Source organism: Homo sapiens, chromosome 12 (genome assembly GCF_000001405.40).
Source record: "Homo sapiens chromosome 12, GRCh38.p14 Primary Assembly".
NCBI lineage: Eukaryota > Metazoa > Chordata > Mammalia > Primates > Hominidae > Homo > Homo sapiens.
Genome location: NC_000012.12, coordinates 47,268,142 through 47,281,388, shown reverse-complemented (window position 1 = coordinate 47,281,388; position 13,247 = coordinate 47,268,142). Strand labels below are relative to the sequence as shown.

At 41.9% G+C, this 13,247-nt stretch overlaps 3 annotated features.

Annotated features, from left to right (window-relative positions):
• Positions 109-403: a silencer, noted in NCBI's record as "tiled region #12453; HepG2 Repressive non-DNase unmatched - State 22:ReprW". NCBI's record gives its function as "represses a minimal TATA promoter and a strong SV40 promoter by Sharpr-MPRA in HepG2 cells {active_cell/tissue: HepG2}" and the evidence as "EXISTENCE:reporter gene assay evidence [ECO:0000049][PMID:27701403]".
• Positions 9,394-10,593: an enhancer, noted in NCBI's record as "MED14-independent group 3 enhancer chr12:47664579-47665778 (GRCh37/hg19 assembly coordinates)". NCBI's record gives its function as "activates an origin of replication core promoter dependent on BRD2, BRD4, P300/CBP and CDK7 cofactors, and independent of MED14, by STARR-seq in HCT116 cells {active_cell/tissue: HCT116}" and the evidence as "EXISTENCE:reporter gene assay evidence [ECO:0000049][PMID:35650434]".
• Positions 12,934-12,983: an enhancer, noted in NCBI's record as "active region_6254". NCBI's record gives its function as "activates an Ori minimal core promoter by ATAC-STARR-seq in GM12878 lymphoblastoid cells {active_cell/tissue: GM12878}" and the evidence as "EXISTENCE:reporter gene assay evidence [ECO:0000049][PMID:35858748]".

Here is a 13,247-nt window from a genome sequence, read left to right as displayed (position 1 = left end):
GGCCTCCCACAGTGCTGGGCCACTATTTTGGGTCTAAAAAGGATTTGAGGGAGAGTCCAAGGAAGCCAGGCTTTGCTCTGCATTGACTACTATTAGGAAGCTGGGGTAATTCTATGATCAGTATGTTATTTATAGGGAGGGCAGACTAGAGGGAAGCTAAAGCTGCAATTAGTAAATAAGCAACTACCATTCATATTAGCTGAGAGGGAGGATGTTTAGTATTTTGTGGCTTGGACAAGGCTCATGTTTTGTCAGGTTCAGGCAGGAATGCCAAGTGGTCTTGCCTTTATCTTGATCCATCGTAGTCACGGTGTGGCCTTGTCTGATATTGATGTTCTGTGAATTGTTTCCCTTCCACAGAGAACACCAAAGTCTAGCTGTTGGTTCCAGGCCAGCTCAGGGCAACACTGAGGGCTACTGATAGTACCAGGCCAGCTCCTGGATGTCAGGCCTACTTTTCTCCTTAGCAGAGAGGGTCTCCTTGCTATCCTCTGACCATGCTACCTCACGCCAATCCCCAAAGCCAGGAATAGGTGAGGTAAGTAGGGCAAAACACTTGGGAAGAATTCACACTTGGGCACCAGCCCTGTGCAGGCATGGCCCTGAGAGGGAGTGGCTCTGCAAGTTTTGTGCATAACTCCCTTCGCTTGCCTCACCTCTGTCCCACTCTACACAATCCTTTAGTCTGGTCTCTGCCCTTCCTTCTTCATTCTCCCACCCTAAATCCTACCCAACTTCCTCCCAAGATCAGACACAGCTTTCCCTTCTCTTACTGGAAATGCTGCTCTCGTGATCACCATAAGAAGAGAGGTTCAGGCCGGGCATGGTGGCTCACGCCTGTAATCCCAGCACTTTGGGAGGCCAAAGTGAGTGAATCACCTGAGGTCAGGAGTTCGAGACCAGCCTGAGAACAACATGGTGAAACCCTGTCTCTACTAAAAATAAAAATTAGTCAGGCATGGTGGCACGTCCTGTAGTCCCAGATACTTGGGAGGCTGAGGCAGGAGAATTGCTTGAACCTGAGAGGCGGAGTTTGCAGTGAACCAAGATTGTGCCACTGCACTCCAGCCTGGGCAACAGAGTGAGACTCCGTCTCAAAAAAAAAAAAAAAAAAAGAAAAGAAAAAAAGAGCCTCTAAAAAAAAGAAGTGAGTTTATCCAACTCACTATAGATCTTAGCCTGGCTGGTTCTTTTTCAACATTCACATGTATTAAATGTGCCCCTGAGATAGGACTTCCCAGCGCACCATAGCTAAAATACTGGACACCCACCCTCAGTCATTCTCTCTCTTTACCTGGTTTTATTTTTTTCACCCATTGATAACTATCTGAACAATTTTTATTTGTTTACATGTTATTTCATTTCTTTCTTTCTTCTTTTTGAGAGAGAGTCTCGCTCTGTCACCCAGGCTGGAGTGCAGTGACGCAATCTCAGCTCACTGCAAACTCCGCCTCCCGATCTCAAGTGATTCTCATGCCTCAGCCTCCTGAGTAACTGGGATTACAGGTATGTGCCACCACGCTTGGCTAATTTTTGTATTTTTAGTAGAGACAGAGTTTTGCTATGTTGGCCAGGCTGGTCTCGAACTCCTGACCTCAAGTGATCCTCCCGCCTTGGCTTCCCAAAGTGCTGGAATTACAGGCATGAGCCACCACACCCAGCCTGTTTACGTGCTATTTCTTTGTCTCTACCAGCACCCCAATGTTAGTTCTGTGACATAGGCAAGTATTTGCCTGTCTTTTCTGCCCCTGCATCTCCAAGGCTTTGTTGTGTATATGTTTTCAATAGCCAATATGCACTTATTGCAATTATATAAGATATACTAAGTGTATGAGATATACATGTATGAGATATAGTTAATGTTCTCAGTGCATGTGTGGGGGGACAGAGGAGGGATGTTGGAATAGAATAGCAGAATCCTGGCCTCATATATGGTTTATAATCCAAGTTTAATCAGTGCTTGAATGATTTTGGATTAAGCAAATAGGTTTTAGCAGATTAAAAACATGGCCTCACATATAAATACTACTAATTGATGCCTTGATTGCCAATCCCTTGAAAAGATCTAATAACCCCAATTAGACTAATTCAAGTTGCCATATACAATTAGCAATGACACTGTACTTTAGGAAATAGAATTTTTAAAATCAGAAATTTTTCCCTAATTATTTCAAATTCATAAAGTTTTAAAATTATAAATTGATGAGGACTTTATGCAGAATTGAATTTCTGATTCAAGCCTTTCTGAAGAGCTTTAGATGATGAGGCTGGAATGGAAAGAACAATTTTGTGGGGAGGGAGGAGTGTTGAATAAGCTCTCCTTTGTCTGCTTAGGTCCTCCCTTACCCATTGTCATCTTCTGGGACTTTTTACAGTTGTTTGTAGTAAGAGAACTCCCATTTTCATCAGTGGAACTGGACAACTACACTGGTCCAATTCAGGCAAATGGATAGAGTTCACAGCACCAAACCAGGTAGGAGTCAAGCCACAGACTGTCTGTCTTTACTCAGAGATAAGTGGCCATTATCATCCTTGTGCCTCTTTGTACTTTACTTTGACCAAATGATCCCTTTGGCTTTCGACTTACCTGGAATCTGCTGCTTAAACTGGCTAGCCTTTATTGGCATTCAGGATCTGTGGGTGGAAATTGGTTGCTGGTATTTCTGAGATGTGAAAATCCTTACCCACCTACTTTGGTTGAAGTGGTTCTAGATTGCAAAGTATTGAATACGGCCGTTTACTTATATAAAAAATACAATAGAACCTTGTATATACATAGACTACCCTCTGGGGAAGAAGAGGTAGGCTTTGGGAAACAGAGTCAAGGTAGACTTTGACTTATCTCTACTATTTGAATTTTTCATAGTGAGAATATATTTGTATGTTATTTATATAATTAAAATATCTTTAAAAAATAAGTTTAGTTGAGAGACAAAAATAATTAATGTCACGTTCTCAATTCTATATCAAGGCTGGAAATAAGAGAAAAATCCCAATTCTCAGTAAGATTGCACACATTTTAATGAAACAACAAAAGGAGAGACAGGAAGCATTCCTAGAGGTCTCTGGTGAAGAAACCTTCATATTCTTATGAAGGAATGACTCATGGATGACTCATGGTCTGTAGCTCCTTCCCCAGTCACTCCCAATTCTTGACTAAAAATATTTGCATTTCTTCCTAGTGCCATCTTCCTCCCACTCTATGCAGTGCCAGCTTGTGCCACTACCATTTTGTGACCTCCCCTTTCTGCTGCTGACCTGATGTTTATGGGAGATCAATTTTCATTCTCATCCATCACTACCAGTATGTCAGTCACTGTGCCTTCCCAGTCCCTAGCCACTTCTAAAGGAACTAGGTGCACCCACAACTTTCCTGGGGTGACTAAACCTGGCTGGACCCCTAACTCAGGGCAGCCCAGACCTCTAGGCTTGTTAGAAGCCCATGAGATATTCCAGCATGAAAAGCCTTTCCAAACAAGGTAAAGCTGGCTTCAGCAGTCTAATTCTCAGGAACTAGAATTAAGAAACACTGAGAAAATGGAGCAGTATATACTGAGAGTTGTTGAGATACTGCAAAAGAAAGAAGCCTTGAAGAAGAGTGGAGACCATGAGGGGTCATAAGTCACTTAAAGTAGAGAGGGAGCACAATCAAGGGGCGGATAGGCGTTAAGAGAAAGATTGTGAGAAAAAGGTGGGAAAGCCAGTCAATGATGAAAGAGAACCAGAGATGCCCCAAAAAACAAACTTGCAGAGGGTCAGTGGGTCATGTTAATGGTGAGTGGCCTTCCAGAAGACCCAGAAGATCCCACACTCGCACTCCCAGAATTGTCTTGGCATCTAAACAACTTTCTCATTCGTCGCCTTGAGACCTGGCTCTGACAACATTCCTACCCTTTCTGAAAGCTGGTGGTTCTGCTTTTCCTGGGTTTCCTGAGACTTTGTCATGAGCCTGAGATCACTGGCTCCTCTTTTCTAAAGGAATGGACATAGCACATTCTTCATTACTTGAGGTGACCTAAGTCTTATTCTTAAAACCAAGAGAACCTAATTCAAATGGTCAGTCCTCTTACTACAAAAGGCAGAATGGAAACAGCTGAGCAGAGTGGGAAAGCTGTGGCCTTCAAAGCAGACTGGTCTGAGTTTCAATCCAGAACCTGCCAAATGTGAGCTGTGAGACTTTTTGGGCAAGTTATCTAACTATAACACTTCTAAGAGTCGTCCTTTTTATCTTTAAATGGCTCCAGTTCAGAATGGCAGAGTGATCCAACAATGGTTTATATAAGCTGCTGGCCTGATGCCTGACACAGACTTAACACTCAATACAAGTTCATACCTTTCCTTCTTCTCTCTGGATACTTCCTGTCTTGCACAATAAAGCCCAAACTACCCCACCCCTCCAGTGGCAGTAGCTATGGTTAAAATTGTCTGCTTCCTGTCTCACTGGGTTCTGCTGTTTTGTGTTCACACACTTCAAGAGTGAAACTCAATCTGTTCAAAGCTGTAAACATGAACTTTGGGTCAGAGTTCGGTCCCCTTTCATTTAGTATCTACCAAAAGTTAATTAGAAGCACCATAATGCAATCAGTTTTTCAGGGCAGGGTGGTGGTGGGGATTACTTTCTTCATATCTACACTCATTCAGCCTGCCATCAACAAACATTTATTGAGTCACCATTGTGTGTAAAGGTACTATAAAGATAGAAGGATCACAGCATTACACACAACGAAATTGAGGTACACAGTGACCCACAGTAAGTTTATTTCCGGTTTCATTTATTTAAGATTTGCAAATGTGTGTTGTATATTTGAACAATGTAGTAAACATTGTGTGGTAGTGCTTAACTCTATTAACCAGATCTTAACTAGGATTAACTAGGATTTCATCTAAAAGTCTCTTGCAGGCCGGGTATGGTGGCTCACGCCTATAATTCCAGCACTTTGGGAGGCCGAGGCTGGTGGGGTCACTTGAGCCCAGGAGTTTGTGACCAGCCTGGGCAGCCTGACGAAACCCTGTGTCTACTAAAAATACAAAAATTAGCTGGGCATTGTCATGCACACCTATAGTCCCAGCTACTCAGGAGATGGAGGTGGAGGTTGCAGTAAGCCGAGACTGCATCACTGCACTTAAGCCTAAGTGACACAATTAGACTCTGTCTCCAAAAAAAAAAAAAAGTCTCCTGCGTATTGCCATAATGTCTTGCTCCTAGACAGGGCTCATTAAATATCGGTAGGTGAATGACTTAATACCTGTTTCAGATGCTTCAGGAATTAGCAAACATCTGTAACTCTTGCTGAGCTAAACCGGAGTATCATGTAGAAAAATATATAGTAGTAGTATAATTATAGTGGTATTAGATTATCCTAAAATCATAAATTTAAGAGGCATCCAAACACATGTTCTTCCTGAGAAACTAATTCTGCCTATTTTCCCTGCTTGGAGCTTTTTTACCTGCAAGTCTACAGACTATAATTTTTGAAAATAGATCCATATAAATCTTTCTGGAACTATTTATGTAAATGCTTTATTTTCCAGTAATCTCAGAGAATTGGCTTTCTGTACCCTGCTAATCTCCTTCTCTCAAAACAAACCAAACAAAAAGAAAACATGCTCCAGGAAACTGAGCATTCTCTATGATCTAATTAAGCAACACAGAAATATTGACATTCCACAAGTACTGACAATTATTTTTTAGCCTAAAAGACAAGAGTAAGTGTAATTATGTTGCCAGTTTAAGATCTACCTTGGAAAAATACAAACTACACCATCAAGAACTCTGTATCCTGCCTGTAATCCTAGCACTTTGGGAGGTTGAGGAGGGTGGATCACTTGAGCTCAAGTGTTCGAGACCAGCCTATCCAATATGGTGAAACCCTATCCCCACTAAAAATACAAAAATTAGCCAGGCATGGTAGTGGGCATCTATAATCCCAGCTACTCAGGGAGGCTGAGGCAGAAGAATTGCTTTAACCCAGGAAGCAGAGGTTACAGTGAACTGAGATCGTACTAGGCAACAGAGTGAGACTCCATCTCAAAAAAAAACGAAAAACAAAAAACAAAATTAAAAAAAATTATCAAAAATCAATGAGAAAACTTGATTAGTAATTAACTCTTTCTGCCACCAAAATGTCAGGGGTATAGTCTATGTCCCATTGCTCGCTACACAGAAAGCCAATCACTGATACAATGAGTATTGCCAGGGAAGAAAGGTTTTATTTAGGTGACGTGAGCCAGGGAGATGGGAAATAAGTCTCAAATCCGTCTCTCCAACTGACTAAAGTTGGGGATTTATATATCAGGGAAGGAATGTAACTATGAGCAGGAAAACAGAAATCAGGGAGGAGTAAGGAAGAGGTGATGGTCAATAGGAAGCACGCAGTCAGTTTGGGAATCATGATGGGTGAGGGATCTGGCATCTCATTGTCTGGATGCAGTGATCTGGTGAGTTTCAGTTCCTTGATACTATCTGAGAAGGCCTGATGATGATTTCCTGAGAAAGGAACTCAGATTGTAAGTTTCAAGCTTTAAGACCAGGAGGGTCAATTTCTATGTTTATTTTAAAAGACTGAAAACATCAGTTCTATGGGAAAATTAGACTGGTTTCATTTCTACTGCACACAAATGTTTCTCCCAGATACATATGTTAGGAAAGTCAGTATAAATCCCAACTTGTGTATGAAGTAATATACCTTCTGCAAGAAAGTCTCTCCTTTAAGTAATGGAAACTTAGACAATGTAGAAACCTAAGCCTAAAATAGCATTTATATTCTTTGGAAGCACTTGTCATCTGTGATGTGATATACAATATATTTCCGTACCTTTGCCTAGAAAGTTGGCCAGAACCCATTTAAATGTTGTTGGTTTAAAAAACGAAATGACAGGCTGGGTGTGGTGGCTCACGCCTATAATCCCGGAACTTTGGGAGGCCGAGGCAGGCAGTTCACCTGAGATTGGGACTTCGAGACCAGCCTGACCAACATGGAGAAACTCCATCTCTACTAAAAATACAAAATTAGCTGGGCGTGGTGATGCATGCCTATAATCCCAGCTACTAGGGAGGCTGAGGCAGGAGAATTGCTTGAACCCAGGAGGCAGAGGTTGCGGTGAGCCGAGATCACACCATTGCACTCCAGCCTGGACAGCAAGAGCGAAACTGCGTCTCAAAAAAAAAAAAAAAAAAAAAAAAAAAAAGATAGACTTATTTTTCACATTGAAACCCTTCAAGTTCTGCAGCAAGGAGAAATCCAAAATAGCTTGCCTAGGGGGCATCGAAATGCCAATACCCAATGGAAGAAAATATCTCATCAAGAAAAAGGTCAAGTTAAACCAGGAAAATGGGAGATGGAATCTAATTACCGTCTCCTAACTCAACATTTAATCATTAGGTAAGTACCATAAGAGAAGATAATGGATGAAAAGGAACATCATAAAGAGAAAGAATCAAAATTACCAAAAATTGTTTAAGAAAGAGAATGACTAGAATCATCCTTTAGGATCCACACCACGAATCAGGTGGCATCATAGTGCACATTATAATGAAATGCAGTTACTTCTCATGATTAAAGGACTTGGAGTGGGGACCCAGACATACTACTTTCTCCAACTTCATTTCATTTTAAGACACAATTTTCTTCCATCATCATTAAACATTTAAGAAATTATTGTGTGTTTTATAATAAGAGAGGTCAGAATGTCTACCTGCTGGCACACTGAGGCTTTTCCTTCTACTTCGGCTGCTATTGTTCTTTTCTTTTCTTTGAAAAAAGACCTGTTCTGTTTCCTTTGGCAATCATTCCTGTACTGTCCTAGGTTTGGCATGCTTCCTGTGACTCCGGCCTGTCTAAAGCGATTCCAGAGGGCAGATCAGTCTTACACTCTCTTCCCCACTTTTCTCAGCTCCTCGAGGACAGCCTGAGTATGTTATGGCTTTCGACAGACAGAGATGTCAATCAAACAGCTCAGCCACCTAGGCTCTCCTCTCATTATTAGGGATGTTTTCCCTCCAGAATCCTCACTCTTATCTTGCTGTGTCTCAGGCAACAGTGATGCCATCTTTTCCACCAAGAAGTCATACACTGAACCTTGAGTTTTTCCCTGAAGTCTCTTTTTTTCTCAGAATTGTTTTATGTTCTTTTGAGTAGCCTTGAATAACAGCAGCATGTGTACCTGTTGATTGTGCTGTCTTTATGGGGCTTCTCCTTGGAGCTCCTTTTGAGCTTAACAGAGAGTCTCTATATAGAAAGAATCACTGTGCACAGAAAGATACACTGGCTGGCACCATGAAGAGCTCTGTGAAAAAGCAGCCTTTATTTTTGTTCAGTGAGATTAATCTGATTAATTCTAACGCTATTATGTTTAAAAACAGCTCATCAAGAAGACAAGCAGAATGATGTACGTTTGATGGCATTTTGGAGTTGCAAAACATATTCACAACACTCCCAGGAAACTGAAGCTCAGAAAGCAGTCCTATCTCCAAATTGCTAGATTTTTCACTACATTGGACCATATAGAGGTCCTTTCCTCCTCAGAGAGTTCTCAGTGAGCACTCTTGTTTATTTCTCTCTGCCTAGGTGTGGTTATTAATTAATTAATTAGTTCAATGATTTGCTAATTTATTCATTCAATACCAGCTCCCAAAGCCCCCTGTTCATTCCCAAAAGGATTTAGGGTGGACGGTTATTATTCATGAAGAAAAACAAAAGGACAATCTTGTTACTCAGCATTTTCTTCACAGAATCCTCTGTCTCAGTGCTGGGTATCTGCTCCTTATCTCTGCCAGCCAAAGAGCAGAGCCTGTTCTTTGGCAATTGCCTTTGCCTTTCTCTTCTGGGCAGCTTTGAAGTATCTGGTTAGAACAGTGCCTGGATGCCTCTCCCACTTCTACTGCTTCACTCTGAAGATAAATGGTTTGTAAGTATCTCCTTTGAGCTGAAAGCCCCCATGTGCAAAACATCTTATAAAGAAAAAGAAATTTCAAGCAGCTTCCCACTGGCTTTCCCTAGAAACGATTAAGTGTCCGTGCATTTAAAATGAATCTACATGATGGCAGGATGTGACACTGGCTGGGTCCATCAGAGCTTGTTCACAGAAACGACTGATACGTAGAAATTTCTCCATACATTCCCCACGAAGCACGCACTTGTTTTTCATGTATACTAACCCTGGAATGACTGCTTTTACAGAAATATATGGCCTTCTTTACCCAGCCTCTTTCAATTGCCATTGTGAGTTCTAAATTCCTCCTGCCTGAGATCTAACTGTGCCATACAGCTTTTTTTCATTTCCCTCATCTGCTCAGGAAAATGCTCCTAGTGTTTCTAGGGAACTTTTCTGATTAGAAGGATTCAAACAAAGAAAATGGCTCAGTTGATAAACATGACCATCTTCCACTTCAAAATGGACATACTCTTTGCCATATGTCGGGAATTATGGAGAGATTCTTTATCATCCCATTATACTCAGCTGTTGTTTACTTTTTGTGAATCGAATGTTGACAATTATAGTCTGAGGTTTTTTTTAACAGCATATGCTGAACATGATAAAATATTTAGAACAACTTACTTTGGACTTATAATTATGCTACATCTTTCAGCCCTTTTATGACTAAATTAGAACATTTAGTAATGTTTGGTGACAACTCCCACACTTTGTAAGCACCACAGAAAAAATATAATTTATTTAATTGGTTTTCATTTGGAAGGGAAATAACCCCATTTCAAGCATCTCAGTGTTAGAAAAGACACTGTATATTCCCCACAAAAATACACAGATGCTCATACATTTGGGGAATTAACATATATCTTCCACAAGGAAACTTAGGAAGGTTATTTCATCATTAATTTACAGCCATTCCTTTTACCTACATATTTTTGCAGAATCACTATTAGTCACCTCCTCTTTCCATCACGTATTCTTTACAGAAGCCCTGAACTTCAGACAGAGACGAGGCTGTTAAATTCTTGTGGGTTTCCAGTGCCACCACAGACAGACTAAATGGCATAATTCATTCAGTAAGTATTTAAGGAGTGCCTACCCTATGCCAGGTCTGTGCTGGGCACTGGGATTCTGAGATGAACTAAATATGGTCCTTTCTTCAAAGTGTTCATAACTTAAAGGCAGAGACAAAGAAGAAAATGCACAATTAAAATTCTGTAGAGAAGAGGGGACTCAGAAGGGCATCTAACTTGGCCAGGATGAGAGAATAGGGGTGAAGCAGGGCAACTGAGAAATATTACCAAGAGTAAGTGACTCTTGAGTGGGTAAAGGGGAGAGAGGAGCTTCATGCAGCGATACCCCCCATTCAAAGGCATGAAGGCAGGAGAAGGCTCCCCTGAGTCAGTGGTAGCCATTAGTTCGGGGTTGGGGAAAAGAGGTGAAGAGATTCAGACTAAGAAGTTAGGTACAGAATAGATGGTGCTGGGCTTTGCACTTGAGCTTCACACTGAAGGCAGTAGGGAGCCCATGAAAGATTCTGCATTTTCTCTGGTTTGTGATCCAGGAGGGGTAGACAGGAGCTGGACAGAGGGCAGTCTATGCCAGATAAACCTGGACCAGGATCAAGGCAGAGCATTGCAGAGGAAAGGACAGATATGAGTAGCCATTTAAGGTGAATCAAATATGTTTTGTTTTGTTTGTTTGTTTGTTTGAGACGGAGTCTCGCTCTGTCGCCCAGGCTGGAGTGCAGTGCGTGATCTTGGCTCATTGCAAGCTCTGCCTCCCGGGTTCACGCCATTCTCCCTCCTCAGCCTCCCGAGTAGCTGGGATTACAGGCACCCGCCACCACGCTTGGCTAATTTTGTTTTTGTATTTTTAGTAGAAATGGGGTTTCACTGTGTTAGCCAGGATGTTCTCGATCTCCTGACCTCGTGATCTGCCCGCCTGGGCCTCCCAAAGTGCTGGGATTACAGGCGTGAGCCACCGCGCCTGGCCGATCAAATATGTTTTAAATGTAGATAATCTTACTTGCAGGGAAGCCCAGGCAGAAAAACTGGAGAAAAGAAAAACATGCCTCATTCCCTTCCTATGACATCCTGTTGTGTCTGAGCTTTATTACTACAAGGTGGGGACACAGACTTTTCTAATGATAGTGGGCTATTTAGCACTTAACTTTAATCAGACCTGGTGCTGAGGCACTTTACATGGAAGGGGATCAGAATATGCCACCCCAAAATATGCCACTTTAGTGTAAGGATTATTTTCAGCTGGAAGCAATTGAGAATCAACAGATGCAGAAAGAGTTCTTTCCTCTCCCCTTATCTGACTAAAAGCAGGGCACAAATTTGCCTTTGTGAAGGTGTTTCCTCTGTGCCAGTAAGGGAAGAACAACCCATCACCAGAGTCTAACCACTTCTTTGAGTTTCACTCCTTTTTTGTGAACTCCTGTGCATGTAAATATTAATAAAAATTTTGTGTCTGCTCTTTTGTTAGTCTGTCTTTTGTTAGGTTAATTTGCACGCCCCCAGCAAAAGAAGAGAGTAGAGGAAAAATTTTTCCTCCCCAACAACATACATCATCTCACTGAACCCTTATCCCTCTTAGTGCGGAAGGTACATACCCCATTTTTTAGATCCAAAAACAAAACTAAGGGATGTTAAGGGGCTGGTCCAAGGTCACGTAGCTAACAGGTGGCAGAGCTGGGATTTGTACCCATGCCTACACGACCACACAGCCTGAACATCCAGCAACTATCCTGCAATTCCAGTGTGTAGGAAACACAGTCTAACAGAGTTAGCAGACAGGGATTGGAGCAGCGTAAAATCCATATTCTAATTCTAGCCCCATTACTATCAACAAAATATTAATCATGTAAATATTTGTGTTGTTCTTTATAGTTCTGATAATAAAGTCATTGCTTCAGTGGTATGACCTTGAGTAAATCGTGTAACCCATCTGTGTCTTAATGTTTTCCCATGAATCAGCACATGGCTTTTAAATTCTTACTATGTTTTAAGTCCTATTCTAATTGGAAGACTGTAATCTTTTATTTTGTTTGAAATAAAATAGCAATGATTTTCACCCTCTTTGTGAGCCCACAAACAAAACAGTAGATATTTAAATTCTGTGGTTACAAGAAAATAAAACAGAAAGAAGTCCTTTCAGTTCTGCTAAATGCAAAATGAACATATATGCAGGCCAGGTGGGGAAGAGATGGGCTGCATTTTTGTCTTGGGCATTAACCAATGTAACTAAGTGGTCAATTGCTATAATTTGAAACAGGAAGGGAAGCAGAAGAACTCCTGTTGATGCTGTTATTTTAAGTAGGTGCATGGTCTATCCTTATCTGGGTAACTTGACTGTCTCAGGCTTGACTAAGCTGCAAGTTCCAAGTTGGTCATATTAACACTGTTTACCTAATCTCAAAGCTCTGAGTGGTCACCGAGGGAGTCCCTAGGAGAGTCATTGTTGATAGAGAGGGTGAGGAGGGAGTAAACTGTAGTTCCCCAGGCTTTTGGACAAGGCTTTTGTTGAGGGGATTCAGAGAATGGTGGGAGCAGAAGAGAGCCAGTGGAATGGAGACAGAGCTGAGGTGGGGAAGAAAGATGGAGCAAGACATAGCAGCTGCTGGCCAGGCACGGTAGCTCATGACTGTAATCCCAGCACTTTGCGAGGCCAAGGCAGGTGGATCACCTGAGATCAGCAGTCCGAGACCAGCCTGGCCAACATGGTGAAACCCCGTATCTACTAAAAATACAAAAAAACTAGCTGGGCGTGGCGGCGGGCGCCTGTAAACCCAGCTACTTGGGAGGCTGAGACAGGAAGAGGTTGCAGTGAGCCAAGATTGCGCCATTGCACTCCAGCTTGGGCGACAAGAGTGAAACTCCATCGCAAAAAAATAAAACAAACAAACAAAACGACATAGCAGCTGCTGCAGGAGAGAAATTTCAAAAAGTGGTGATGAGACATTTAGAAAGGTTTGGGTGTATGATATGTAAATTTCTCTTTCGTCTACAAACAAAATTGCAACAAAACTCTGCCTGGTTAAATGTTGTGCTGGTTATTTGACTGTTTGCCTCCAGATCCATCCTTTGTGTCTGCTCTGTATGTCTGACTGTTGCAAGCTATGATACCCAGGCTCTCTTGACCACCTGTTTTAGCCTCACTTAACCAGCGAGAGGTACTGTTGGAGATTGGAGGTTGGGAGGAAAGGGGAAGCCAAAGTATTTCTTGTCCTCTTTTTCTGCCATGGGAGGCATATCTGGCAGTAGCTGCCCTCCTCTGTGGCTCCAGCTCTTGCCTGAATATTTCTGTTA